This window comes from Homo sapiens, chromosome 12 (assembly GCF_000001405.40).
Source record: "Homo sapiens chromosome 12, GRCh38.p14 Primary Assembly".
Taxonomy (NCBI): Eukaryota; Metazoa; Chordata; class Mammalia; order Primates; family Hominidae; genus Homo; species Homo sapiens.
Window position 1 is genome coordinate 101465792 of NC_000012.12, and position 25637 is coordinate 101491428.

General features: G+C 41.2%; 1 protein-coding gene and 2 pseudogenes across 2 annotated transcripts, besides 1 other annotated feature; all 3 read left to right on the forward strand.

Moving 5' to 3' along the window:
- RNU5E-5P (RNA, U5E small nuclear 5, pseudogene) lies at positions 814-1129 on the forward strand (annotated as a pseudogene).
- RNA5SP367 (RNA, 5S ribosomal pseudogene 367) lies at positions 6548-6665 on the forward strand (annotated as a pseudogene).
- Positions 8190-8885: an enhancer, noted in NCBI's record as "NANOG-H3K27ac hESC enhancer chr12:101867759-101868454 (GRCh37/hg19 assembly coordinates)". NCBI's record gives its function as "activates a minimal SCP1, AML or CMV promoter by ChIP-STARR-seq in naive H9 embryonic stem cells {active_cell/tissue: H9 hESC(naive)}" and the evidence as "EXISTENCE:reporter gene assay evidence [ECO:0000049][PMID:30033119]".
- SPIC (Spi-C transcription factor) lies at positions 9545-21206 on the forward strand. 2 transcript variants are annotated; one of them, NM_152323.3, is made up of 6 exons: positions 9545-9711; positions 11037-11116; positions 11767-11860; positions 13791-13903; positions 17001-17109; positions 20553-21206. In NM_152323.3, exons 2-6 carry the CDS (start codon positions 11114-11116, stop codon positions 20978-20980), a joined length of 747 nt encoding a protein of 248 aa, NP_689536.1. In that variant the 5' UTR covers positions 9545-9711; positions 11037-11113; the 3' UTR covers positions 20981-21206. The 2 variants fall into 2 exon arrangements, with proteins under 2 accessions (NP_689536.1, XP_006719302.1); XM_006719239.4 differs by having other exon boundaries at positions 11071-11116.
- The last annotated feature ends 4431 nt before the right edge of the window (positions 21207-25637 follow it).

Below are 25637 nucleotides of genomic sequence, written 5' to 3' on the forward strand. Positions count from 1 at the left end.
CTCCCCAACCCTTCTTCTCTACTCCCAGTTAACCAGCTAACTTCTGTAAGAACAGGATGCCTCTTCCCTGTAAAAAGGACATTATTGCCCTGCTAATTAATTTTGTTAAAACAGGGAGAATTGCCACTTACAAACTGCTAGAAAAAAAAAAATTCCTTACCAAAAGGACCTAAATTTAAAGCAGAATCAATTGCAAGTCTGTCTTCTTAGTAAACTAGAAAGTGAAAATAAGCATTACAAACCCACTAAGAGATGAAGGGAGGAGTCATTTTCCTCTTCCCTTTCCCAGGCTGGTAAATGGCTTAGGTTTAGAAACTTCTGAGGCCAAAAGTGATGAAGCAGAGGCATATGTGTTCTTCAGGCTTAGGATAAAAATGTATAAAGAATTTGGTAGACCAGCCTGGGCAACATGGTGAAACCCCATCTCTACAAAAAATACACAAATTAGCCGGGCGTGGTGGTGCGCACCTGCAGTCCCACCTACTAGTGGGGCTGAGACGGCAGGATCGCTTGAGCCAGGGAGGTCGAGGCTGCAGTGAGCCATGATTGCACCACTGCACTTCAGCCTGGTAGAGTGAGACCCTGTCTCAAAAAAAAAAAAAAAAAAAATGAGGCTGGGCGCAGTGGCTCATGTCTATAGTCCTAGCACTTTGGGAGGCTGAGGCAGGAGGATCACGAGTACAAGAGATCCAGACCATCGTGGCCAACAAGGTGAAACCCCGTCTCTAGTAAAAATACAAAAATTAGCTGAGCGTGGTGGCATGTGCCTGTAGTCCCAGCTACTCGGGAGGCTGAGGCAGGAGAATTGCTTGAACCCGGGAGGCAGAGGTTGCAGTGAGCCAAGATTGCGCCACTGCACTCCAGTCTGGCAACAGAGAGAGGCTCCGTCCAAAAAAAAAAAAAAAAGTCTGGTATACTCTGGTATCTCTTCAGATTATATCAATTTTTCACCTTTTCCTAAAGATTTATGTGAAGAGAAACAATTCTGAGTCTTAACCAAATTTTTTGAGGCCTTTAGTCTTCAAGGCAATTTTATTTTATTATTATTATTTTTTGAGATGGAATCTCACTTTGTCACCCAGGCTGGAGTGCAGTGTTGCGATCTTGGCTCACTTGCAACCCCCACTGCCGGGGTCCAAGCAATTCTTCTGCCTCAGCCTCCCAAGTAGCTGGGTTACAGTCATGCACCACCATACCCAGCTAATTTTTGTATTTTTAGTAGTGGCGGGGTTTCACCATGTTGGCCAGGCTGTTCTCGAACTCCTGACCTCAGGTGATTTGCCCACCTCGGCTTCCCAAAGTTCTGTGATTATAGGCATGAGCCACTGCGATTCAGGGCTAATTTTAAAACAACAACAACAACAACAACAACAAAAGAATTTGGCTGTGATTTAGCCCACCTCTCTGTGCCTAGAATTAGAATGCAGTAAGATACACCAGTAGGTCCTCAGAGTTTAGCTGCTTCAGAAAGACTAGAAAGTGCCCTTTCACAATCAGTCATGGTTCAGAACACAAGACTTAAAAAGTCACTACCTTGCTGGCACCCAATGGGGACGATGAGAATGGGTCTGTAGTCTCATCTTTTTCTGTGCAGCTATGCTGTTCCCTACTAGTCTTGTGTCAGAGAAGTTTCCTCTGTTGGTATAAACACTGGCAGGAGCCATTAAAGTAATTATGGTCAATACATAGAGCCTATGGGGAATAGTTGTGCAACCTGATGATCAGGAAGAGGTACCAGACATGGCAAGGGAAGAACTGGGTTTGAGCCCTGGTTCTGCCACTTACCAGCGAGGCCGCAGGTCCCAGACATGGTAAAAGCAGAGCACTTCTGGTGATGTAACAGCTGTCATGGTGAGTGTTTACTCCTGTTCTCAAGCACCATAAAAGCTCTCAAGGCCAGGTGCGGTGGCTCACGCCTGTAATCCTAGCACTTTGGGATGCCATGGCGGCCGGATCACCTGAGGTCAGAAGTTAAAGACCAGCCTGGCCAACATGGTGAAACCTCGTCTCTACTAAAAATACTAAAATTAGCCTGGCGTGGTGGCACACGCCTGTAATCCCAGCTACTCGGGAGGCTGAGGCAGGAGAATTGCTTGAACCCGGGAGGCGGAGGTTGCAGTGAGCCAAGATCACGCCACTGCACTCCGGCCTGTGTGACAGAGCAAGACTCTGTCTCAAAAATAAATAAATAAATAAATAAATAAATAAATAAATAAATAAATAGCTCTCAAGAGCCATAGGACATAAGGCCATTGCTATCACATTCTTCTTCTTCTGATCCTCACTCCATATAAGGAAAGAAAGATAGGCAGAATGGTTAAAAACCTCTAGTTAGAACTGGTTTGAAAACCTCCACCTCTATCTCTTCCTAACTGCGTGACCTTGAATATGCTACTTAGCCTCCCTGAGCCTGTTTCTTCATCTGTAAAATGAGGGTAATTAAGAAAGCAAAGGCTGGGCGTGGTGGCTCACGCCTGTAATCCCAGCACTTTGGGAGGCTAAGGTGGGCGGATCACGAGGTCAGGAGATCGAGAACATCCTGGCTAACAGGGTGAAACCCTGTCACTACTAAAAATACAAAAAAATTAGCCAGGCATGGTGACGGGCGCCTGTAGTCGCAGCTACTCAGGAGGCTGAGGCAGGAGAATGGTGTGAACCCGGGAGGTGGAGCTTGCAGTGAATCAAGATCATGCCACTACACTCCAGTCTGGGAGACAGAGCAAGACTCTGTCTCAAAAAAAGAAAGAAAGAAAGAAAGAAAAAGAGAGAAAGAAAGAAAGAGAAAGAAGGAAAGAAAGAAAGAAAGAAAGAAAGACCTAGCCTTCTAAAATGTTTATTTATTTATTTATTTTGATATGGAGTCTTGCTCTTGTCACCCAGGCTATAGTGCAATGGCGCAATCTTGGCTCACTGCAACCTCCGCCTCAACTGATTCTCCTGCCTCAGCCTCCCTAGTAGCTGGGATTACAGGCATGTGCCACCACGTCAGGCTAATTTTAGTATTTTTAGTAGAGACGGGGTTTCACTATGTTGGCCAGGCTGGTCTCAAACTCCTGACCTCAGGTGATCGGCCCACCTTGGCCTCCCAAAGTGCTGGGATTATAGGCATGAGCCACCACACCAGGCTGAGCATGTATTAAAACCAGGACTGCCCCAAGCACATTACATAGATTCCCTGGGATAAATTTACACACTAACCTTACTTATAAGTAAAATTATTATCCACAATTTACAGAAGAAGAAACTGAGAGATTAAGTTATTTGTTCAGGTTTACACAGCTAGCAGATACAGAGTCACAGATAGAACTCAGGGACAATAATACCACCTGACAACATTACTGTGAGGCTTAAATAGTCAACTGTGATAACATGTGGGAGTTATCACATGTGAATAGACGACAACAGTAGCACAAAGAATGGGAGGTGACGTAAAGGGAATTATCCTTCTTCCATTATACATAAAGTGGTATAATATTAACCCAAAGTAGACTGTGATAAATTAAAAATACATATTGTAATCCCCACAGCAACCACAAAAAAAAATCTACAAAAGTGTATCATATAAACAGGCCAGGCGCAGTGGCTCATACCTGTAATTCCAACACTTTGGGAGGCTGATTCAGGAAGATTAGCCCAGGAGTTTGAGACCAGCCTCGGCAACATAGCAAGACTCCTGTCTCCACAAAAATAAAAACAAAAATTAAAAATATTTAAAACCCCCCCCACACAAAGAAAAATATATAATCACATTATAATGAGATGATAGAGGAAATAAAGTGAAATAATAAAAATATTCAATACAAAAGAAAGTAAGCAAGCAAGAGCAAAGGAACAGAAAATAAGTGGGATCAATAGAAAACAAATAGCAAAATGGTAGACTTAAACCGAGCTATATCAGGAGTTACTACATTGGACTAAACACTAAAAAGGCAGAGATTGTCAAACTAGATTAATAAGCCATCCCCAACTATAAGCTGCTTAAAGCGACATACTTTAAATAGAGAGACACAGACAAGCGGGACAGGTTGCAAGTAAAAATATAAATGGTATATACACTAAGGAGAAGAAAACTGAGGTGGTTAATATCAAAGAAGACTTCAAGACAGGGAGGATTACCAGAAAAAAAAAAGACAGAAATTTTATAATGACAAAAGACTCAATTTATCAAGAACACATAGCAATTAATTATGAGTATGCAGCTAATGAGAAAATTTCAAAATACGTGAAGCAAAAATAGACAGAACTAAAGAAGAGAAATAGACACACTCACAACTATAATTGGAGATTTCCCTTACACTAATTTATAGACCATGAAGACAAAAGAAGCCCCTCAAAATATAAAAGATTTGAACAATATTATCAGCCAACTAGATATAATTGATATTTATCAGCCACTGCATTTTATAGCTGCAAAGTATACATTCTTCCAAGTGCAAATTCAGTCAAAATGGACTCCATGTTGGGCCACGAAACAAGTCTCAGTAAATTTCATAGAATATCTATTGCAAGTAATTATTATTAAAATGAGGGTGAGGGTTAACTATTTGTCTCATAATCTCTGGTTCTATGACTCCTCCTACTCAAATGTGAGGAATTGTTTTTCTTTTTCCTTTTTTTTTTTGAGATGGAGTTTCGCTCTTTGTTTTGCTTTTTGTTTTTGTTTTTTGAAACGGAGTCTCGCTCTTGTAGCCCAGGCTGGAGTGCAATGGCGTGATCTAGGCTCACCGCAACCTCCACCTCCTGGGTTCAAGCAATTCTCCTGCCTCAGCCTCCTGAGTAGCTGGGATTACAGGCACCCGCCACCACGCCCTACCAATTTTGTATTTTTAGTAGAGACGGGGTTTCTCCATGTTGGTCAGGCTGGTCTCGAACTCCCGCCTTGGCCTCCCAAAGTGCTGGGATTGATTACAGGCATGAGCCAGCGTGCCCAGGCTTCCTTTCTTTTTTTAAAAAAATAATTGAGATGGGGGTCTCACTATGTTGACCAGGCTGGTCTTGAACTCCTGGCCTCAAGCGATCCTCTCACTTTAGCCACCCAAAGTAATGAGATTATAGGTGTGAGCCACCGCACCCAGCCAAACATGAGGAGTTTTCTAGCACCTTCTCCCCAGTCTGCTAACAATCTTTATTATTTGCTTATTGGAGTTTCCAAAGATCTTGCCAAGATTAAGACCAAATTCTTTAGTCACTTCAACAACTGAATTATTGAAGAAGAATTTGTGAGGAATGATAAGAGCTTGAACTTGATCTCCCTTTTTGGGTTCTGCAGTTCCCTATTCTCAGAAAACACAGTCTTCCACCTGAAGCGTGTCACCATATGATTTGTACGCCAGCACATGTGTTGCTTAAGATTTTCTAAAATAATCTCCATTGCCACTGAGGACAATGAACTTCTGCAAAAGTGAATCTGTCAATCAGGGATCCTCTCTTCAGAGCCCTTAGCTTGTTACTCAGCTCATTTCTGGAGTTGAGGGAAACATTGGTGTCCATATATTAAATAAATACTGCAGGGGCTCCCAAATTGGAGTTCACTGGCCCTACTGGGAGGGTTTGCCTGAAAATGTGTGCTGATGGCATTTTCCTGGGAAAATAACTGCCAGCTTTCATCAGATTCTCAAGAGATAGGAGTTTTGACTTCTAAAATGCTAAAAGTCTATTGCATTAACTTTTCAAGATGCCAAAACAACTTCACATCTTAGCCCTACAGAGAACCCTAAAGCTGCATTTCTGTTTTTGCATCTGTAACGTAGGGTTGTATATATATACATATATCTCCAACAGGCCGTATGCAGTGTCTCACACCTGTATTCCCAGTACTTTGGGAGGCCGAGGCAGGAGGATGGCTTAAGCCCAGGAGTTCGAGACCAACCTGGGCAACATGGTGAGACCCCATCTCTACAAAAAATGTAAAAATTAGCTCGGCATGGTGGTGCCTGCCTGCAGTCCCAGCTACTTGGGAGGTTGAGGCAGGAGGATCACTTGAGCCTAAGAGGTTGAGGCTTTAGTGAGCTATGATTGCACCACTGCACTCCAGCCTGAGTGACAGAGTGAGACCCTACCTCAAAAAAAAAAAAAAAAAAAAAATCAACACACTCATTGACTTCACTAAGGAAGTTCTAGGCAGCAACCCTAGCTTCCACTCAACACTTTTGCCAGGTTCATTTATTAATATCCTGCATAATCAAACTCTAGAGACAATAGTTGGGGAAATGCTAGCTTAGAAAGTTTACTTGTTGGCCGGTCACGGTGAATCATGCCTGTAATCGTAGCACTTTAGGAGGCCGAGGCTGGAAGATCACTTGAGCTAAGTAAGGAGTTTGAGATCAGCCTGGCCAACATGGTGAAACCCCATCTCTACTAAAAATAGAAAAATTAGCCAGGCATGGTGGCAGGCGCCTGTAATCACAGCTACTTGGGAGGCTGAGGCATGAGAATTGCTTAAACCCAGGAGGTGGAGGTTGCATTAAGCTGATATGGTGCCACTGCACTCCAGCCTGGGCGATAGAGCAAGGCTCACTCTCAAAAAAAAAAAAAAAAAAAATCACTTTTTTATGGCCATAACACCTTGAACAGGCCTGACCTCTTCCGATTTTAGACACCAAGGCGTGTAGGGCCAGTTTAGTACTTGGATGAGATCCCACCTAGAAATATCAGGGTTTTAATTTATTTACATTAAAAAAAAAATAGTCCAGGCGTGGTGGTTCATGCCTGTAATCCCAGCAATTTGGGAGGCCGAGGCAGGCATATCACCTGAGGTCACGAGTTTGAGACCAGCCTGGCCAACATGGTGAAACCCCATCTCTACTAAAAATGCAAAAATTAACCCTGTGCGATGGCGTGGGCCTGTAATCCCAGCTACTCAGGAGGCTGAGGCAGGAGAATCACTTGAACCCGGCAGGCAGAGGTTGCAGTGAGCCGAGATCACGTCACTGAACTCCAGCCTGGGTGACAGAGACTCCATCTTGGAAATAAAAATAAAAATTAAAAATTAAAAAAAAAGAAAGTTCAGGCTGGGTGTAGTGGCTCAGGCCTGTAATCCCAGCACTTTGGGAGGCCAAGGCGGGTGGATCACCTGAGGTCAGGAGTTCAAGACCAGCCTGGCCAACATGGTGAAACCCCATCTCTACTAAAAATACAAAAATTAACCAGCCTGAGTAGCTGGGATTACAGCCTGGCCAATATGGTGAAACCCCGTCTCTACTAAAAATACAAAAATTAGCTGGATGTGGTGGTGGCCTGTAATCCCAGTTACTCGGCAGGCTGAGGCAGGAGAATCGCTTGAACCCAGGAGGTGGAAGTTGCAGTGAGCCAAGATCATGCGATTGCACTCCAGCCTAGGGGACTGAGGGAGACTCTGTCTCAAAAAAAAAAAAAAGTTCACTGTGTTTACATTCATTTCAAATACTCACCACACCTGTAGTATTAATATGTGACAAGCATGGGCTGGGTGCTGTGGAGTTTGCCGTTGGGACTGAGCACCTGGTCGAAGGCAGCCTCAACTGCACACACAGGTCTCCAGGGCTGAGAGCGTGCACATGAAGTGGAATTAACCCAAATTTGGATCTGGCCCAGCCCACCTCACTAGAAGTTGAACCTTAGGGAAAATCACAAAACATCTTTGAACTTCAGTTTAGATTCCTCATCTGTGACATGGGGGTACACAGATAACGACTGCCATACATGACTTGTGATTATTTTAGGGCTTGATGTGTATGTTGATCTGGATCCTGCCTCTTTCTTCTCCAACTTTGCCTCTTAGCCCCCAGGTGCATTTTCCTGCAGCCTCCTCTCCTCCTCCCGCTTTTTTTCTGTGTCTTGAATGCCAAACTCATTTCCATCCCAGGCTCTTTGCACCTGCTGCTTCCTCTGCCAGGAGGTGCTCCTCCAAATATTTGCATCTCTGCTTTTTGTTTTGCTCACTCCTTCATTTTTCTGAGGCAGGGTGGGGAGGCACTCCATTTTTCTTGGGGGTTTCACTGTGCTGTCCAGGCTGGTCTCAAACTCCTGGCCTCAAGCCATCCTCCTGTGTAGCTGCTTAGCGGGGATATAGGCACCAGACACCCTGCCCGCCTGCTCACTCTTAAGTCTTCTTCTTGGGTTTCAGCTCACACCGCTTTCCTCCTCAGAGATTTTTCCTGGCTATTCGCACACTGTCTTCATAATCTTTCTCTTTTGTATTGTTGTTTTTGACACTTCTTATCTAATACTTTACCAATGTGTTTATTTTTTAAAAATCATTTCTTCTCATAAGGATTTGTTCAGGGCTGTAGCTCCTGGACATGGGGCAGTGCCCAGAAGAGTGAAGAGCTCAGTAATATGTTGAACGAATGAACCAAATAAGGTGGCTTGAAAAGGGTGTAGACTAGTACAGATTAAAAACAAATCAACATTAGTGATTACCGTTTTATACCTGTTATTATAAGATCTGCATATCAGAAGAAGGACTGTGTGTTAACATTTGCATAACAAATTGGCTCAAAAAAGTAATTGGTCCAAAACAATAGTCCCCTATCAAAGGTGAGGTTAGGCTCCAACAATGCAAAACTGAAGTTACTGGCAGCTTTGAAATCACAGACCCTCTTCACTCTCCCCACCCACAAGGTTTACAAAAAATTCTTAGGCGGTTTTCCCCCTGGCCAAAATGTGACAGCTATTAAAATGGCAGGTTTCAGGTTAGCCAAGTGAGAGGCAGACATGTGTTTCAGGGGACAGGAAGGTTATTTCCACCGTGTACAAGTGGATGCTGCTTTGGACACTGATGGACAGGTAACATAAAATGGGCGAATCTGCAGGGGGATGAACTGGGAGGAAAGTATTTTAGGTGGAGGGAGCGTCTCATAATTTCCAACAGAGCCACCCCAAATAAACCTTGAAGCCAAGTAAGAGAACGGGACCTGCATTAGGAATGCAGCAGCCTCAGGTATGTCCAACCACATGGCCCCCCATAAGGTTTTCCTAACCATTTTGGAGCCGCTACTGAATTTAGGTGTGGAGGAAAGCAAGAGCATGGATTCTATTATCCCCACTCAACTGAGTGGCAAGATATAAGGCTAAGGCTCAAGAGCCTTGAATGTCAGGACAAGGGCCCTAAGCCTTTAAGCTCTCTAAGGCGATCAGTGAATGGCAGTGTAAGTAAAGTAGTTTAGGAGGAAAGACCGATTTGGAGAGTCCAGAGTGAAGGCTGTTGACAGTCCAGGCAAGAAAGAGAGTATAGAGTCCAGAATTGGGAGAGAAGTAATATGAATTAAAAAAAGAAGGGTGGGCCTGAGTTGCCTGGGTTAGAAGTTTCCGGTGGGGCTATGCAATCTGAAGAGCTGCAACCTAAGTTGGGCGGGGGATTCATGGGGCTTGTTCTAATGCTTTTTTGCTTTTTGGCTGATGGGATGCAAACTACTATGTGCCTCTTCAAAATAATAGCCCCTGGTGTCTACTAATCATATCATGAAATAGAAATTGTGAAGGCACTGTATCTTTTAAAAAAAATCCCCTTTTGAAGAACTTCCTTAAAAACAGCTATTTAATGCAACTCTGCCAGTATGTTCTTGATGGTTATGTCTTAACAATTCTAATTTTTAAAAAAAATATTACTATTTTTTTTCATCAGAGCCATTGCACTGGAAAATAATTTTTTATTTTCATGATAGCCTACCGTTGAATTTACCGTTCTGATATTAATGAAACATCTCTATAAAGGGTTGAAGTGTCTTCCCGGTAAGTTCTCAGCTTATGTTTTTCTAAATATCTTCTAATCACTGTTCATTTTTTCCTTTGGCCTAATGAGTGTTTCTCACTGTCTGCGTGTTCAGATGCAAGAAATATTAAGCAATCATAGTAATCAATAATGTTTTCAAGCTTTTTCTTCCTTTTAGATTTGCTACTTGTAATAGCTGCGATAGTCTTGTGGAGCATTTTAGTCAAAGAGAACATGTTCATTTTTAAATATTTAATTCAAAATACAACATTCAGTGCTTCTGCACTTTTGAGTCAAAGCAGTTAATTGAAAATCACTGACATGGCTTTTAAAAAATATGTGCTACTGATAATATTCACTAAAGACCATGAGCCGAAGAGTGATTTCTGGATTTTCTTCTATTTTCTTTTAACTGACATGATGTAATGATTTCAAAGAGCCAAGCAGAATTTTGATATTTAATATGTTATGTTGATATATGATGGATATATATAATATTGGCATTAGATTACATCATCTCATTTTATTATTCAAAGTTAAACACTAAAGAGTAAACACATTGTGTTTGCGGGTAAATACTAAGAAGATAAATACTTGCATAAAAAGAACTGCTGGGTTTACTTAATGGAATGATAAGCAATTTTGGACCCACCACAGTTCTTTTTATTATGTGGGTTGGTTTTTGTTTGTTTGTTCCCTGTGTTGGTCTATAGAACGTAGAGTTAAAAGCATTTAATTGTGGGTCGGTGTGATAATTGTTTCTCTAAAGCAAAATCAGAATTACTTAGAGATAAGAAAGTAAATAACAAAATTATAGACGAGTTTTCTTAGCCTAGGATTCAAGCAAGTCCAAGGATAGTCTTCACAGGCTAAATTTTATTTGCAATATAAGTCCAATTTTCATGGGAGGAAAAGGATGGCTTTTGCCAGATTCTCAGAAGGCAATATAACACCAAAGAAAGGTTTTTTAAAAAAGCCCTATTTTTATAAAGCTATGCTAAGGTAAAAAGGATTTTGATTTTCAGAATTTTAGAATATTTAAAATAATTTTGAAATACTTATATATACTTTTGAGTTATTTCCACTTTCTCTTATCAATCAAGCAGCTCAGATAATTAAATATATAGCTATTTTAATATTTAAAGCATTTTGTAATCATGGAAAAGCAAAAAGAAATGTTTGTAGAAAATTTCGTAGAAAAAAATTTGTACTCATCAAAGAGAATTCAGGAGGTACTCTTGGTTTATGTAAGGTATTTTCAGAAAATATTTTTGAGCAAGATCTTATTCAGAATCAAATTAGAGACTGCATTTAATTTTGCTTTTTAAATATTAAACTTTTTCAGGATTGTCAACTTATTTTATTTTATTTTCTTCAAGCAACAATTGCTAAGGAACAGAATTGTCAATTTATTAATGAAATATGGTAAGCTGACATTTTAATATTTTCTTTACTCTGTCCACAGAGGAGCTCTACAGCATAATAATTAAAAAACTTTTTTCTTTACTCTCCCTCCATTTTAAAAATAAAATATATCGATCATGTTAATAAGGATATGAAATAGTTTGCAAAGCAATTCAATTTTAGGTCTTGGAGACATAAGAGCATTTCATTTTTAAACAACAATTCATAGGTTCTGTTTCATTGAAGATATTTCCTTGGCCCTTTTTTTCTAAATCACTCTCCTCTGCTCTACAACTCCTTGCTAAAATTTTGCAATAATGTTAAATACTGTACTATAGAATGAATACCATTCTCTAAATAGTATACTATAATGGAGTGTGTTTCAACTGTGATTGATTTTGTGCCTCAGGGTACATTTGGTGATGTCGGAAACATTTTTGACGGTCACAACTGTGAAGGTACTACTGGCAACCAGTGGGTAGGGGTCAGGGAAGCTGCTAAACATCGTACAATGCACAGGCAGCCCCCCTGACAACAGAGACAGCCAACACCAAATGCCCATAGTGTCAAGATTGAGAAACCCTCCTTTAGACTAAATACTATTTTAAATCAGGGAGATTAAGTTTAATTGGTAATTCGAAAACTCCAGAATTCTATCATTGTTCCAACAGACGTGTGTTGAACAAGACAAGCTGGGTCAAGCATTTGAAGATGCTTTTGAGGTTCTGAGGCAACATTCAACTGGAGATCTTCAGTACTCGCCAGGTAAAGATGAGTCATTTACCCTCTTCTGCTGGTACATCAAATGGCTTGTTGGTCACATACACATATAAGAATAATGATCAGCTGACCAGGTGCTGTGGCTCACATCTGTAATCCCAGCACTTTGGGAGGCCAAGGTGGGCAGATCACTTAAGACCAGGAATTCAAGACCTGCCTGGCCAATATGGCGAAACCCTGTCTCTACTAAAAATACAAAAATTAGCTAGGCATGGTGGCGCGACTGTAATCCCAGCTACTCTGGGGGCTGAGGCTTAAGAATTGCTGAACCTGAGAGGCAGAAGCTTTAGTAAGCCGAGATGGCGCCACTGTATTCCAGGATAATGATCAGAACAGAGAAGACCTTTTTTTTCTTTTTTCTTTTTTCTTTTTTTTTTTTTTTTGAGACGAAGTCTCACTCTGTCGCCCAGGCTGGCGTGCAGTGGCGCGATCTCGGCTCACTGCAAGCTCCTCCTCCCGGGTTCACGCCATTCTCCTGCCTCAGCCTCCCGAGTAGCTGGGACTACAGGCGCCCGCCACCATGCCCATCTAATTTTTTGTATTTTTAGTAGAGACGGGGTTTCACCGTGTTAGCCAGGATGTTCTCGATCTCCTGACCTCGTGATCCGCCCATCTCGGCCTCCCAAAGCGCTGGGATTACAGGCATGAGCCACTGTGCCCGGTGACCTTTTTTATCTTTAATTTAATTTTTATTTGTTTATTTTTTTGTAGAGACAGGGTCTCACTATGTTGCCCAGGCTGGTCTGGAACTCCTGGACTCAAAAACGAGATCATTTTTACCTGAAGCATCCAGGATTAATTCTAGCAAAGGCAAAATATGTCCAGGAGTATCTAGCCTAAATAAAACTAAAGTCTCACATATAAAAATGCAGAGAATATAGAGGATGACATTCCACACAGAAATACAAAGATATATAATTATCTGCTATTAGAAATATCTGGTTGACATTTATTTATCTAATAGACAGTTCATTTTAACTATTCACGAAAGGCTTTTAAATTGTTCCAATGAATCTTATAGACCTTCCACCCACACAACAAGATATATTCTACTTGGAAGAATAAGTATTTTTATCCTTCCTCACCCATTATCCTATGGACTATATAGTCTAAATAGAATGCAAATATGTTATGTATTAAGTTTATATAGGGTATTACAGGGTGTTCCAAGATAAGAGAAATCATGTGGGCAGGGCATGGTGGCTCACACCTGTGATTCCAGCACTTTGGGAAGCCAAGGTGGGTGGATCACTTGAGCCCAGGAGTTCAAGACCAGCCTGGGCAACATGGCAAAACCCTGTCTCTACAAAAAATACAAAAATTAGCCAAGTGTGGTGGCGTGTGCCTGGAGTCCCAGCTACTTGGGAGGCTGAGGTGGGAGGATCACTTGAGGCCAGGAGGCACAGGCTGCAGTGAACCGAAATAACGTGGCCGCACTCCAGCCTGGGTAACAGAGCAAGACCCTGTCTTAAAAAAAAAAAAGAAAGAAAAGAAAGAAAGAAAGAAAAAGAAAGAAAGAAAGAAAGAAAGAAAGAAAGAAAGAAAGAAAGAAAGAAGGAAAGAAAGAAAGAAAGAAAAAGAAAGAAAGAAGGAAGGAAAGAAAGAAAGAAAGAAAGAAAAAGAAAGAAAGAAAGAAAGAAAAAAGAAAGAAAGAAAGAAAGAAAGAAAGAAAGAAAGAAAGAAAGAAAGAAATCATGCGGTTTCAGCCTGCAAGGAGCATGTTCTCCAAATGGGATATGTATAACAGTATCCATAATAGCAGCATAATGAGATAAACACCACAGGAGAAGTGCAAAGTGGCAAGAAAACATAGATGAGAGCAATTGCATCTATAAGTGCATATATATACACACATATTTATATGCACAAATACAAACTTTGACTTTTTTAGTTTCTTTCTCTGATTTAAAATTAGATTACAGAAATTACCTGGCTTTAATCAACCATCGTCCTCATGTCAAAGGAAATTCCAGCTGCTATGGAGTGTTGCCTACAGAGGAGCCTGTCTATAATTGGAGAACGGTAATTGTAAGTATCAGACCATCCCTTAATAACAGGCAAATATCCTATTCTTGCCAGCCTTCCATTTCACATACACTGTCTGAAACCCAGCTTAAAGACAGCATTGACTATGAAAATGGTTTTTTCTTTCTTTTTTTTTTTTTTTTGAGATGGAGTCTGGCTCTGTCACCCAGGCTGGGGTTCAGTAGCTCAATCTCAGCTCACTGCAACCTCTGCCTCCCAGGTTCAAGTGATTCTCCTGCCTCAGCCTCCCAAGTAGCTGGGGTTACAGGCGTGCACCACAATGCCCAGTTAACTTCTGTATTTTTAGTGGAGACAGGATTTCCACATATTGGCCAGGCTGGTCTCAAACTCCTGACTTCAGGTGATCCACCAGCCTCAGCCTCCCAAAGGGAAGGATTACAGGCGTGAGCCACTGTGCTCTACCTGAAAATGCTTTTTAAGGGCCATCAGCTGTAGTCTGAACTTGACAGTCAACATGGATGATCACATGCTGTTAGGAAGGAAATAACCCTTCATCATTGCTCTCTACTTAGCCTCAGACTGGTTTGGATGACTTCGTAAAAAGGAGGTGTTTTCAGGATGTTAATATCAGTTGCTTCTCCTTAGTCCATCTGGGAAATTGCAAAAAGTTTCCCCTAAAAGCCACAGGGCAAAGATCCAAACTGCCCCTGCACTGGTTTTACCTACAGTCTTGTATTAGACTGCTCTGTTTTCCTTCTCAAACTCAGTGTTATCTGCATGTATTGGACCAATTCATTGATATTTTATTAATAGCAGCATCTGCAAAGGGAAACACCCTGCCATCTCCCCATTCATGTATTCTTTTAGTTGTCTTCTTCATGCATCCATTTTATCAAGCGGTCTTCATGGGATGAGGTATAAATGTGAATTGGTTTTTATTTTTCTTCAGTCACTACCTTCAATCACACCATGTCAAATGTCCTTTTTCTGTTTCTATAAATTGTTCCCTTGGGGCCTCTTCACAAGACATTTTATTTTAAGAGAGTGCTTTGGGCTGGGCTCAGTGGCTCACGCCTGTAATCCCAAAGTTTTGGGAGGCTGAGGAGGAAGGATCACTTGAGCCCAAGAGTTCGAGACCAACCTGGGCAACAGAGCAAGACCCTGTCTCAAAAAAAAATTTTGTAAATAAAAATTTTAAATAGAGGGTGCTTTGGTTCCAGCTTAACCTCTTCCACCTCCACTTAGGGTTGCCAGGTAAAATGCAAGATGCCCAATATTTTGTTTGCTAAATCTGGCAACCCTTCTTCTTTCTACTTCAGCTCCCATTTTCTAGCATGTGCCTCACAGCCTCTTATCCCTGGGGACTCCTTGCCTGCTGGTCAGCCTTCTTGATTGGGGTGTGGAAAGACAGCTCAAGCCCAGCCCCTTCCGGTGTTTAACCCTTGGAAACCCACATATTCTTCTTGCCATATGTAAATGGTAGAAGCTTGGGCTGCTTCTTCCTGTCCCCTTTCTTTATTCTGCCTTCCCTTGGCTGTCATCTTTTTTTTTTAAGACAGGGTATTTTTCTCTCACCTAGGTTGGAGTGCAGTGGTGCGATTATAGCTCACTGAAGCTTCAAATTCCTGGGGTCAAGGGATCCTCCTGCCTCAGCTTCCCAAGTAGCTGGGACTATAGACATGTGCCACCAGGCCTGGGTAATTTTTAAATATAAATTTTTTTGTTCTGTTGCCCAGGCCGTAGTGCAATGGCACCATCTCGGCTCACTGCAACCTCTGCCTCCTGGGTTCAAGCGATTCTCCTGCCTCGGCCTCCCAAGTAGGTGGGATTACAGGTGCCCACCACCACCCACAGCTAATTTTTTTTTTTTTTTTGAGATAGAGTTTCACTGTTGTCACCCAGGCTGGAGTGCAATAGTGTGATCTCGGCTCACTGCATCCTCCGCCTCCCAGGTTCAAGCGATTCTCCTGCCTCAGCCTCCCTAGTAGCTAGCTGGGATCACAGGCGCCTGCCACCATGCCCAGCTAATTTTTGTATTTTTAGTAGAGACAGGGTTTTACCATGTTGGCCAGGCTGATCTCAAACACCTGACCTCAGGTGATCCACCCACCTCGGCCTCCCAAAGTGTTGGAATTACAAGTGTGAGCCACTGTGCACCCAGCCAATTTTTTTGTACTTTTAGTAGAGACGGGGTTTCACCACGTTGGCCAGGCTGGTCTCGAACTCTTGACTTCAGGCGATCCGCCCGCCTCGGCCTCCCAAAGTGCTGGGATTACAGGCATGAGCCACCATGCCTGGCGTACAAAAAGGCCAGGCACGGTGTCTCATGCCTGTAATCCCAGCACTTTGGGAGGCCGAGGCAGGTGGATCGCCTGAGGTCGGGAGTTCAAGACCAGCCTGGCCAACATGGAGAAACCCCATCTCTACTAAAAATACAAAATTAGCCGGGCATGGTGGCACGCCCAGCTACTAGGGAGGCTGAGGCAGGAGAATCGCTTGAAACTGGGAGGCGGAGGTTGCGTTGAGCCAAGATCGCGCCATTGCACTCCAGCCTAGGCAACAAGAGTGAAACTCTGTCTCAAAAAAAAAAAAAAAATTGTAGAGGTGGGGTCTCTCTAAGTTGCCCAGGCTGGTCTTGAACTCCTGGGCTCAAGTGATTCCCCTGCCTTGGCTTCCCAAACTGTTGAGATTACAGGCATGAGCCACCGTGCTCGGCCCTTTCTTGTCTTGTAAAATTTTTATTGTTTTCATTACTTATTTTATTTTATCTTCCCAGCTGCCTACTGACATCTTTCTTTTCTTATCTCCCCTTGCCTACATGGGCATCCAACACAGGAATGGAAGCCCATCTTCCCTTTCTGATGGTACCACAGACTTTAAGCAATCCCTTCTTTCTTGTAGGGAGGGTAGGACATGACACTCCTCACAAAGCCAAGGATTACCCTCTGTCCCCTGGTCCTCTCCTTATGTGGGTTTGATGCTAGTGCTGCCCTGGGAGCTATCTGGCTGCAGTTGGGGGTAATTCCTTTTGCAATCTGGGAGACGCTTAGCCTCTTTTTCCCCTAACTTTTGACTTCAGCCTATAATAGGGGGCAACAGGGAAAGTCTCACTTAACATCCTGCTTCATTATTTATATAGAACAGTGCTGCGGACTTCTATTTTGAAGGAAATATTCATCAATCTCTGCAGAACATAACTGAAAACCAGCTGGTACAACCCACTCTTCTCCAGCAAAAGGGGGGAAAAGGTACGTTGATCCATCATTCGTTATACAGGTAAAAGAACCAGATCTTCCTCATAGCTGCTTTAAAGGGATTTTATAACTGAGTTTGGAATTGAATTTGCAAAATATTCTTTTATCACATTTGAGAGTAATTTAACTCTGACTTCTTGAAACAGTCCAAGCCATTCATCTTGGGTGAGACTTCCTGTGTTTTTTTTTTTTTTTTTCTGAGACAGAGTCTCACTCTGTTGTCCAGGCTGGGTCTGAAACTCCTGGACTCAAGCCATCCAAAGTGCTGGGATTACAGGTGTGAGCCACCACACCCAGCCTCCTATTTTTAAATTTTTTTATTTTTATTTTTTACTTTTTGAGCTTATGTTGTTAAAAACAGAGACACAAACACACACATTAGCCTAGGAGTAACAGTGACAGGATCGTCACTATCACTGTCTTCCACCTCCACATCTTGTCCCACTGGAAGGTCTTCAGGGACAATAACACATAGAGCTGTCATCTCCTATGATAACAGCGCCTTCTGGAATACCTGTTGAAGAACCTGCCTGAGGCTGATTCACAGTTAGCTTTCTATTTTTTAATTTTTATTTTATTATTTATTGATTGTTTTACAGTTAAATTTAAAAGAAAATTAAGTAGAAGGAGTACAATCTAAAATAATGATAAAACATATATACAGTAGATACTAGGTGATAGGAATTTTTCAGCTCCACTATCATCTTTTTTTTCTTTTTTTTAATTGTTGCCCAGGTTAGGATGCAGTGGCATCATCTCAGCTCACTGCAGCTTCTGCCTCCCCGACTCAAGCAATTCTCCTGCCTCAGCCTCCTGAGTAGCTGGGATTACAGGCACTCACCACCACGCCTGGCCCGTTTTTTGTATTTTTAGTAGAGACGGGGTTTTGTCATGTTGGCCAGGCTGGTCTCGAAACCCTGGCCTCAGGTGATCCAGTCTTCCAAAGTGCTGGGATTACAGGTGTGAGCTACCATGCCTGGCCATATAATTTTTTTAAATGTGATTCAGGCAGCCCCCCCGAACCAAAATAGGTTCAGAGAGACTCCCTCACCAATACATTTTATTTATTTATTTTTATTTTTATTTATTCATTTATTTATTTTTTAATTTTTTTGAAACAGAGTCTAGCTCTTTTTATTTTTCAAAATAGAAGTATTATATACTCATGGTAAAAGACTCAAACCAAAGTACAAAGTGAAAGTAAAAGTTCCAGTGTATTTTACATATTTCTAGAAAGCTTTTTTTAAAAAAATTTTCACATATACAAGTATATGCATATCCTTTGAAATTACACATGGGATTGTACTCTTGCACTTTTTCCAGTAAATAATATATCTTAAGTAAATTCTGGGCATGGTGGCTCATGCCTGTAATCCTAGCACTTTGGGAGGCCAAGGTAGACGGATCACCTGGGGTCAGGAGTTCGAGACGAACCTGGCCAACATGGTGAAGCTCCGTCTCTACAAAAAATAAAAAAAATTTAGCCGGGCATGGTGGTGGGTGCCTGTAATCCCAGCTACTGGGGAGGCTGAGGTGGGAGGATCACTTGAGTCCAGGAGGTGGAGGTTGCAGTGAGCCAAGATCAAGCCACTGCACTCCAGCCTGGGTGACAGAGTGAGACTCCAACTCAAAAAATAATAATAATAAATAAAATAAAGAAAATAAATAGATAGATAAATATATAGTTGAGGGAGTCTCTCCGAACCTATTCTGGTTCAAGGAGGCTACCTGATTCACTTTAAAAAATAATTATAGGCCAGGCATGGTTAAAAAAAAATTATAGGCCAGGCATGGTGGCTCATGCCTGTAATCCCAGCACTTCGGGAGACTGAGGCAGGCAGATCACTCGAGGTCAGGAGGCTGAGGCAGGAGAATCGCTTGAACCCGGGAGGCAGAGGTTGCAGTGAGCCAAGATTGCGCCACTACACTCCAGCCTGGGCGACAGAGCGAGACTCCATCTCCAAAAATTAATAAATAAAATAAAATAAAATAAAATTTAAACATAAAAAAATACGGAAAACTTTAAAAGATGATGATCCATTAAGACCAATTTGATCACTGAATGAGAGACAGAGGAGTTTTGTTTAAGCTGTGACTTTAATTCATGATGTGTTTTTTGGTAAGTCCCTTTCATTTCTCAATTCATAAACTCAAGATAATATAATACAAAAGATAATCTTTGTAAAAATGTTTGAGGTCTTTGGATGAGTGATAAATGCATCATGCAAGAGTATTATTCCCCAGAGACTGTTTAAAGCAGTTTGGGAATCCACTAGTATACCTCCTCAAGGGAAAATGGAATTTGGCTGCAAATTTTTTAGCTACTGACAGATCTGGCAGAGCACAGTATTTACAGACTAACTCAGAAGTCACAAAATGGGCTGTCACTTTTGTTCTCATGAGCTGTTATGCAAAAGAAATCCTATCAACTGAACAAAACCCACACAGATTCTCTCAAAATTTCCTGCCTAGTTATTTTGAAATATAAATGGCTGTGTTCCTAAGATTCTAGTGGCACTATTTATTCCACAACAATGAGAAATATCACAGTGCCCATTGCATTGTTAAATGAATAATGTTAAAGTGATATAAAAACATTTTTGGCATTTCCATATGAGTTTTTCTCCTTTTTTATTTTTCAAGTAATTGTGCAAACCCAGAGTTAGCACTTTTACCTAGGTCTTCGGTATTAATTTCCTTAATATTACCTTACATTTGCATTCTATTTTGCATTTTACAAAGTGCATTTACATCCCTTAACTCATTTGAATAAAGCCCCTTAAAATGACTTGTTTTCTGGAAATGGCTTTTTGAGGCTTCTCTTCGAAACTGCTAAACTTGTGGTCCATTTTGCTCAATGTTGTTCTGTGGAAAGTTTGTTTTGTTTTGTTTTTTGAGACAGATTCTCGCTCTGTTGCCCAGGCTGGAGTGCAGTGGCGCGATCTCGGCTCACTGCAGCCTCCACCTCAAATGATTCTCCTGGGTTCGAGGGAGAATCCTCAGGGGACTGCCTCAGCCTCCCGAGTAGCTGGGATTACAGGCGCGTGCCACCCTGCCTGGCTAATTTTTGTATTTTTAGTAGAGACGGGATTTCACCATATTGGCCAGGCTGGTGAACTCCTGACCTCAAGTGATCCGCCCTCCTCGGCCTCCCAAAGTGCTGGGACTACAGGCGTGAGCCATCACGCCCGGCCAGGCAACATTCTTAACAACTTCTCCAACAAAGAAAGATCCAGTTGAAACTTCAATAGGCCAAATAGATCCTCTACCTTCGAATCCCATAAAATGATGCCATCATGCATTCGTAAGGGCAGTGAGTGGGAGAAAAACCAGTCTCGATGCAGCTTTTAATTCAGTAGTTGCTCAACAAACCCTTTCTGAGGATGTTCTCGGTTTACAGCCACGGTGGAGTTTGACCTTGTTTCCCTTCATTTTAGGCAGGAAGAAGCTCCGACTGTTTGAATACCTTCACGAATCCCTGTATAATCCGGAGATGGCATCTTGTATTCAGTGGGTAGATAAAACCAAAGGCATCTTTCAGTTTGTATCAAAAAACAAAGAAAAACTTGCCGAGCTTTGGGGGAAAAGAAAAGGCAACAGGAAGACCATGACTTACCAGAAAATGGCCAGGGCACTCAGAAATTACGGAAGAAGTGGGGAAATTACCAAAATCCGGAGGAAGCTGACTTACCAGTTCAGTGAGGCCATTCTCCAAAGACTCTCTCCATCCTATTTCCTGGGGAAAGAGATCTTCTATTCACAGTGTGTTCAACCTGATCAAGAATATCTCAGTTTAAATAACTGGAATGCAAATTATAATTATACATATGCCAATTACCATGAGCTAAATCACCATGATTGCTAAATATACTTTCATATTTCATGGTTTACTGGCATCGGAAATCTCTACAAGTTTTAATGATTTCTCCCTCCCTCTCTTTTTTTCCTCCTCTGAAGAAATTTAGGATTTTTCTCTTAAAGCAAATACTAAAGAGGAAAAAAAATTAACTTTATTGTTGCTTTTATCAAAGAGTATGTAATCTATACTAACTTGTTGGGAAATTCTGCCAATGAACAACTTTTTTATAATACTTTGTGAAGATTCAATGAACAACTTTATTGTTTCAAATGATCAAGCCCATTTGAAAGTATAGACTAAGGTCCTTGCTCTGCTCTTACTGTTCTCTCTCTATTAAAATTTTTATTTTTTTATTTTATTATTTTTTAAAGATGTCTCAGCCAAGATAATTTTTTATTTTTATGGATTTAGGAGTACAAGTGCAGTTTTGTTGCTTTGATATATTGCATAGTGGTGAAATATGCATCCTCATCACCAGAATAGTGAACACTGTACCCAATAGGTAGGATTTCATCCCTCATCCCCCTGGCATCCTCCCACCTTTCAGAGCCTCCAGTGTCCATTACTCCATTCTGTATGACCATTGCTAAGCTCCCAACTATACCCATTTTATTTTATTTTAAAAATTGTTTTCTTTTGCTGCATACTTCAATGGATGCAAAGTCTTTTTCTTTTTTCTTTTTTTCTTTTCTTTTCACAGACGATGACTTCTTTTTTTGTTTGTTTGTTTGTTTTTGGCTGCTAACTCCCAAGCACAACACTGACAGTGACTTATATTTTTAATTTTTTTTTTTTTTTTTTTTTTTGAGACGGAGTCTCGCTCTGTCGCCCAGGCTGGAGTGCTGTGGCGCAATCTCGGCTCAGTGCAAGCTCCGCCTCCTGGGTTCATGCCATTCTCCTGCCTCAGCCTCCCGAGTAGCTGGGAGTACAGGTGCCCGCCACCACGCCCGGCTGATTTTTTTGTATTTTTAGTAGAGACGGGGTTTCACTGTGTTAACCAGGATGGTCTCGATCTCCTGACCTCATGATCCGCCCGCCTCGGCCTCCCAAAGTGCTGGGATTACAGGCGTGAGTCACCGCGCCCGGCTATTTTTAATTTTTTTAAGAGGCAAAGCCTACCTCTGAAGCTCTCTCTTTTTTTCTTTTCACACTTCAATAAGCTGGTTTAAATTCTTGCTATTCTCTATGCAACCACCTTCTTCTAGATTAACAGTGCCAGTACAGATGATTTGATTTATATATTGATTTCAGCATTTTCTTGTCATGTACTCAGGTGAGAAAATTCACACTTTTATATGATGGCTTTACAAAAAAATTTTGTAAATGACTGCATATGATAAAGCCTTTGTGCCAAAATGGGTTCATAGCTTTAAAAACATCACTAGAAATGTCTGTTCAGCTTCCTTACACATTTTTTTATTTCCTTCTCTTTTGATCTTACCCATTTTTACAACTTAAAGCTTTTTTTTTTTTTTTTTTTTTGAGACAGGGTCTCACTCTGTCACCTATGCTCAGGTGCAGTGACACAAACATGGATGAAGCCCAGCTAATTTTTTTTTTTTTTTTTTGTAGAGACTGTTTTGCCATGTTGCCCAGGCTGGTCTCTAACTCCTGGGCTCAGGTGATCTGCCCACCTTGGCCTTCAGAAGTGCTAGGATTACAGGTGTGAGCCACCGAGCTGGCCCCAAAACTTTTTTAATGTTTAAGTTTTACCACTGTACTAAGGAGGAGTTACCCATTTTTTTAATTGCCTTTTTTCTTCCTTCTTATTAGGGAGGGGTAAGGAAGAAGACTTTGTCAGCAGAAAGCAGGTCTTAATTGCTTTTTTGTTTGTTTGTTTTGTTGCTATTGAGTTGTTTGAGTTCCTTATATGTATTGGATATTAAACCCTTGTCAGATGTCTGGCTTGCAAATGTTTTCTCCCATTCCATAGGCTGTCTCTTTACTCTGGTGATTATTTCCTTTGCTGTGCAGAAGCTTTTTAGTTTGTTTGTTTTAGCTACACGTCATGAACTAAGAAGCTTTTTAGTTTGATGTGATACCATTTGTCTATATTTAATTTTGTTGTCCATGCTTTCGGGATCAAATCCAAAATATCACTACCCACACCAATGTCTTATATGTTTCCCCTATGTTTTCTTTCTTTCTTTTCTTTCTTTCTCTCTCTCTCTTTCTTTCTTTCTTCTTGTAATCATTAGAGAAATGCAAATTAAAACCACAATAAGATATAATCTCTCACCTGTCACAACGTCTTAAAATGTTTATTATTATGTTTTTAATCATCCTGTACTTTATTTCAAAACAATGTTTTCAAATGAAGACACAAAAGATAAGTGTTGGTAAGGATGTAGAGCAAAGGAAACACTTGTACACTGTTGGTGGAAATGTAAATTGGTGTAGCCATTATGGAAAATGGTATGGAAATTCCACCCCCCCCCGAAAAAAAACTAAAAATAGAATTATATGATCTAGAAATCCCACTTCAGTGTATTAATGCAAAAGACTCGAAATCAGTTTGTGGAAGGGATATCTGCATTCCTATGTTCATTGCAACACTACGCACAATAGCCAAGTTAGGGAATCAATCTCTGTCTATCAACAGATGAATGGATTAAAAAAATGTATTGCATATACATGATGGAATACTATTCAGCCTTTAAAAAGAAGGACATTCTGGCCAGGTGCAATGGCTCACACCTGTAATTCCAACACTTTAGGAGATCAAGGCAGGCAGATCACTTGAAGTCAGGAGTTTGAAACCAGCCTGGCCAACATGGTGAAACCCCATCTCTACTAAAAATACAACAATTAGCTGGGTGTGATGATGCATGCCTGTAATCTCAGCTACTTGGGAGGCTGAGGCAGGAGAATGGCTTGAACCTTGGAGGCAGAGGTTTCAGTGAGCTGAGATGGCACTACTGCACTCCAGCCTGGGCGACAGAGTGAGACTCCATCTCAAAAAAAAAAAGGAAGGAAATCCTGAAATTTGTGACAACATTGATGAAATTGGAGAACATTATGCTAAGTGAAATAAGTCAGGGCTAGAAAGACAAATACCACATGTTCTCATTTATATGTGGAGTTAAAACAATGAACTTATAGAAGTGGAGAGTAGAATTGTGGTGACAGAAGCTGGAGGAGGGGGAGATGGGGAGGTGATGAGCAAAGGGTATACAATTTCAAACAGGGAGAATATGTTTTCTCTTTTTGTGCATTCTATTGCACAGCATGGTGAATATAGTTAATAGTAGAGTGCTGTACATTTCAAATTGCTAAGTAAACTTCAAATGTTCTTACCTCAAAGAAAGTTAAGTATTTGAGGTGATGGGTATGTTAACTAGCTTGACTGAATTATTTCATATGGCGTTCACAAATCATAACATCATTTTGTACCCCATAAATTTTTTCCCCACACAACTCTCTCTTTACAGAACCCATAAATCTATACAATTATAAATAGTCAATTTACAATAAAAAAGAAAAAAACTTTAGTGGGTATCTTGAGTCTGTATTTTCTCTGCACTTCCACTCATGATCTGTAACCATGTGGCATTCAACAGATGACAGCCTAAGGAAAATGCCACTTTCCTTAATGATAATAAAAATCTAAAGCTTACACCTCCTACAAATCCCCTTCGTGGTTGACGTTTTTCTTAGGTAGATCCAGGTGCTAATATTTCTTGCTATCCTGCCACGAAGCCATAGGGAGGTGCTGTTGCCCTGGTATCTATCTGGCACATGGTCTCTTCCCTTGAACTAGCCCAGTGGAGACAGGCTAGAACAGTTAGAGAAGGAAAATAAAAAGACTTTATAAAGGCTAGATACCAGCAAATAGTAAACTGAGGAAGGGACCAGGATATAAGCAGTCTAGCTTGAAAGCTATGGCTTATTCTCCACATTTCACAAAGAACCCTGGAAATAAATGCTTTCTTTCTTCATGCTTGGCAGGTGACTGCATATGTCATTTGTATTACCACAAGGCAGGAAAACTTTCCAGACTACATGGGCCATCTTCAGTCCAGGCCAAGAGCTCCCTGGGCCTGATCTCTGGGAGCTGTAGAATGTCCAGTGTCCTCTTTTCCTTCATGTCCCTCTCTTGTGTGCCCTACCTTCCCCAGGGACTCTGAGGAAAAGACATGATCAATCCAGAGTGACTGAGGGAAGGTGGACTTGATATTGGCCGTCTCCAAGTGTAGTCTATTTCAATCCATGCTCATCTCAAAGCAGGACTGAGATTTACACCCATGCCCCCACAAAGAAAATGCCTTATAAAGCATTAGTAAGAAACATAAATTTTGGCTGGGTGTGATGGCTCACACCCATAATCATAGCACTTTGGGAGGCCAAGGCAGGAGGATCACTTGAGACCAAGAGTTTGAGACCAGCCCAGACAACATAGTGAGACCCCATCTCTATTTAAAATAGCAACAACAGTGAAGTTAAAAAGAAACATAAGTTTTACCAAAGATTGAAAGGGGAAATGACCCCTGGACAATGGGAACTTGAAAAAAAATAATAAAAAAAAGAAAGGAGAAAGGGTAAAAAGGGTGTATCACACAAATCATTCAGCCAACAACTTAATACAATTCCATCAACATTTAGTTCTCCCCATAGTTCCTCCTATAACCAATGCCAGCTTGAGGGGTTCATCTTGACAATTCTT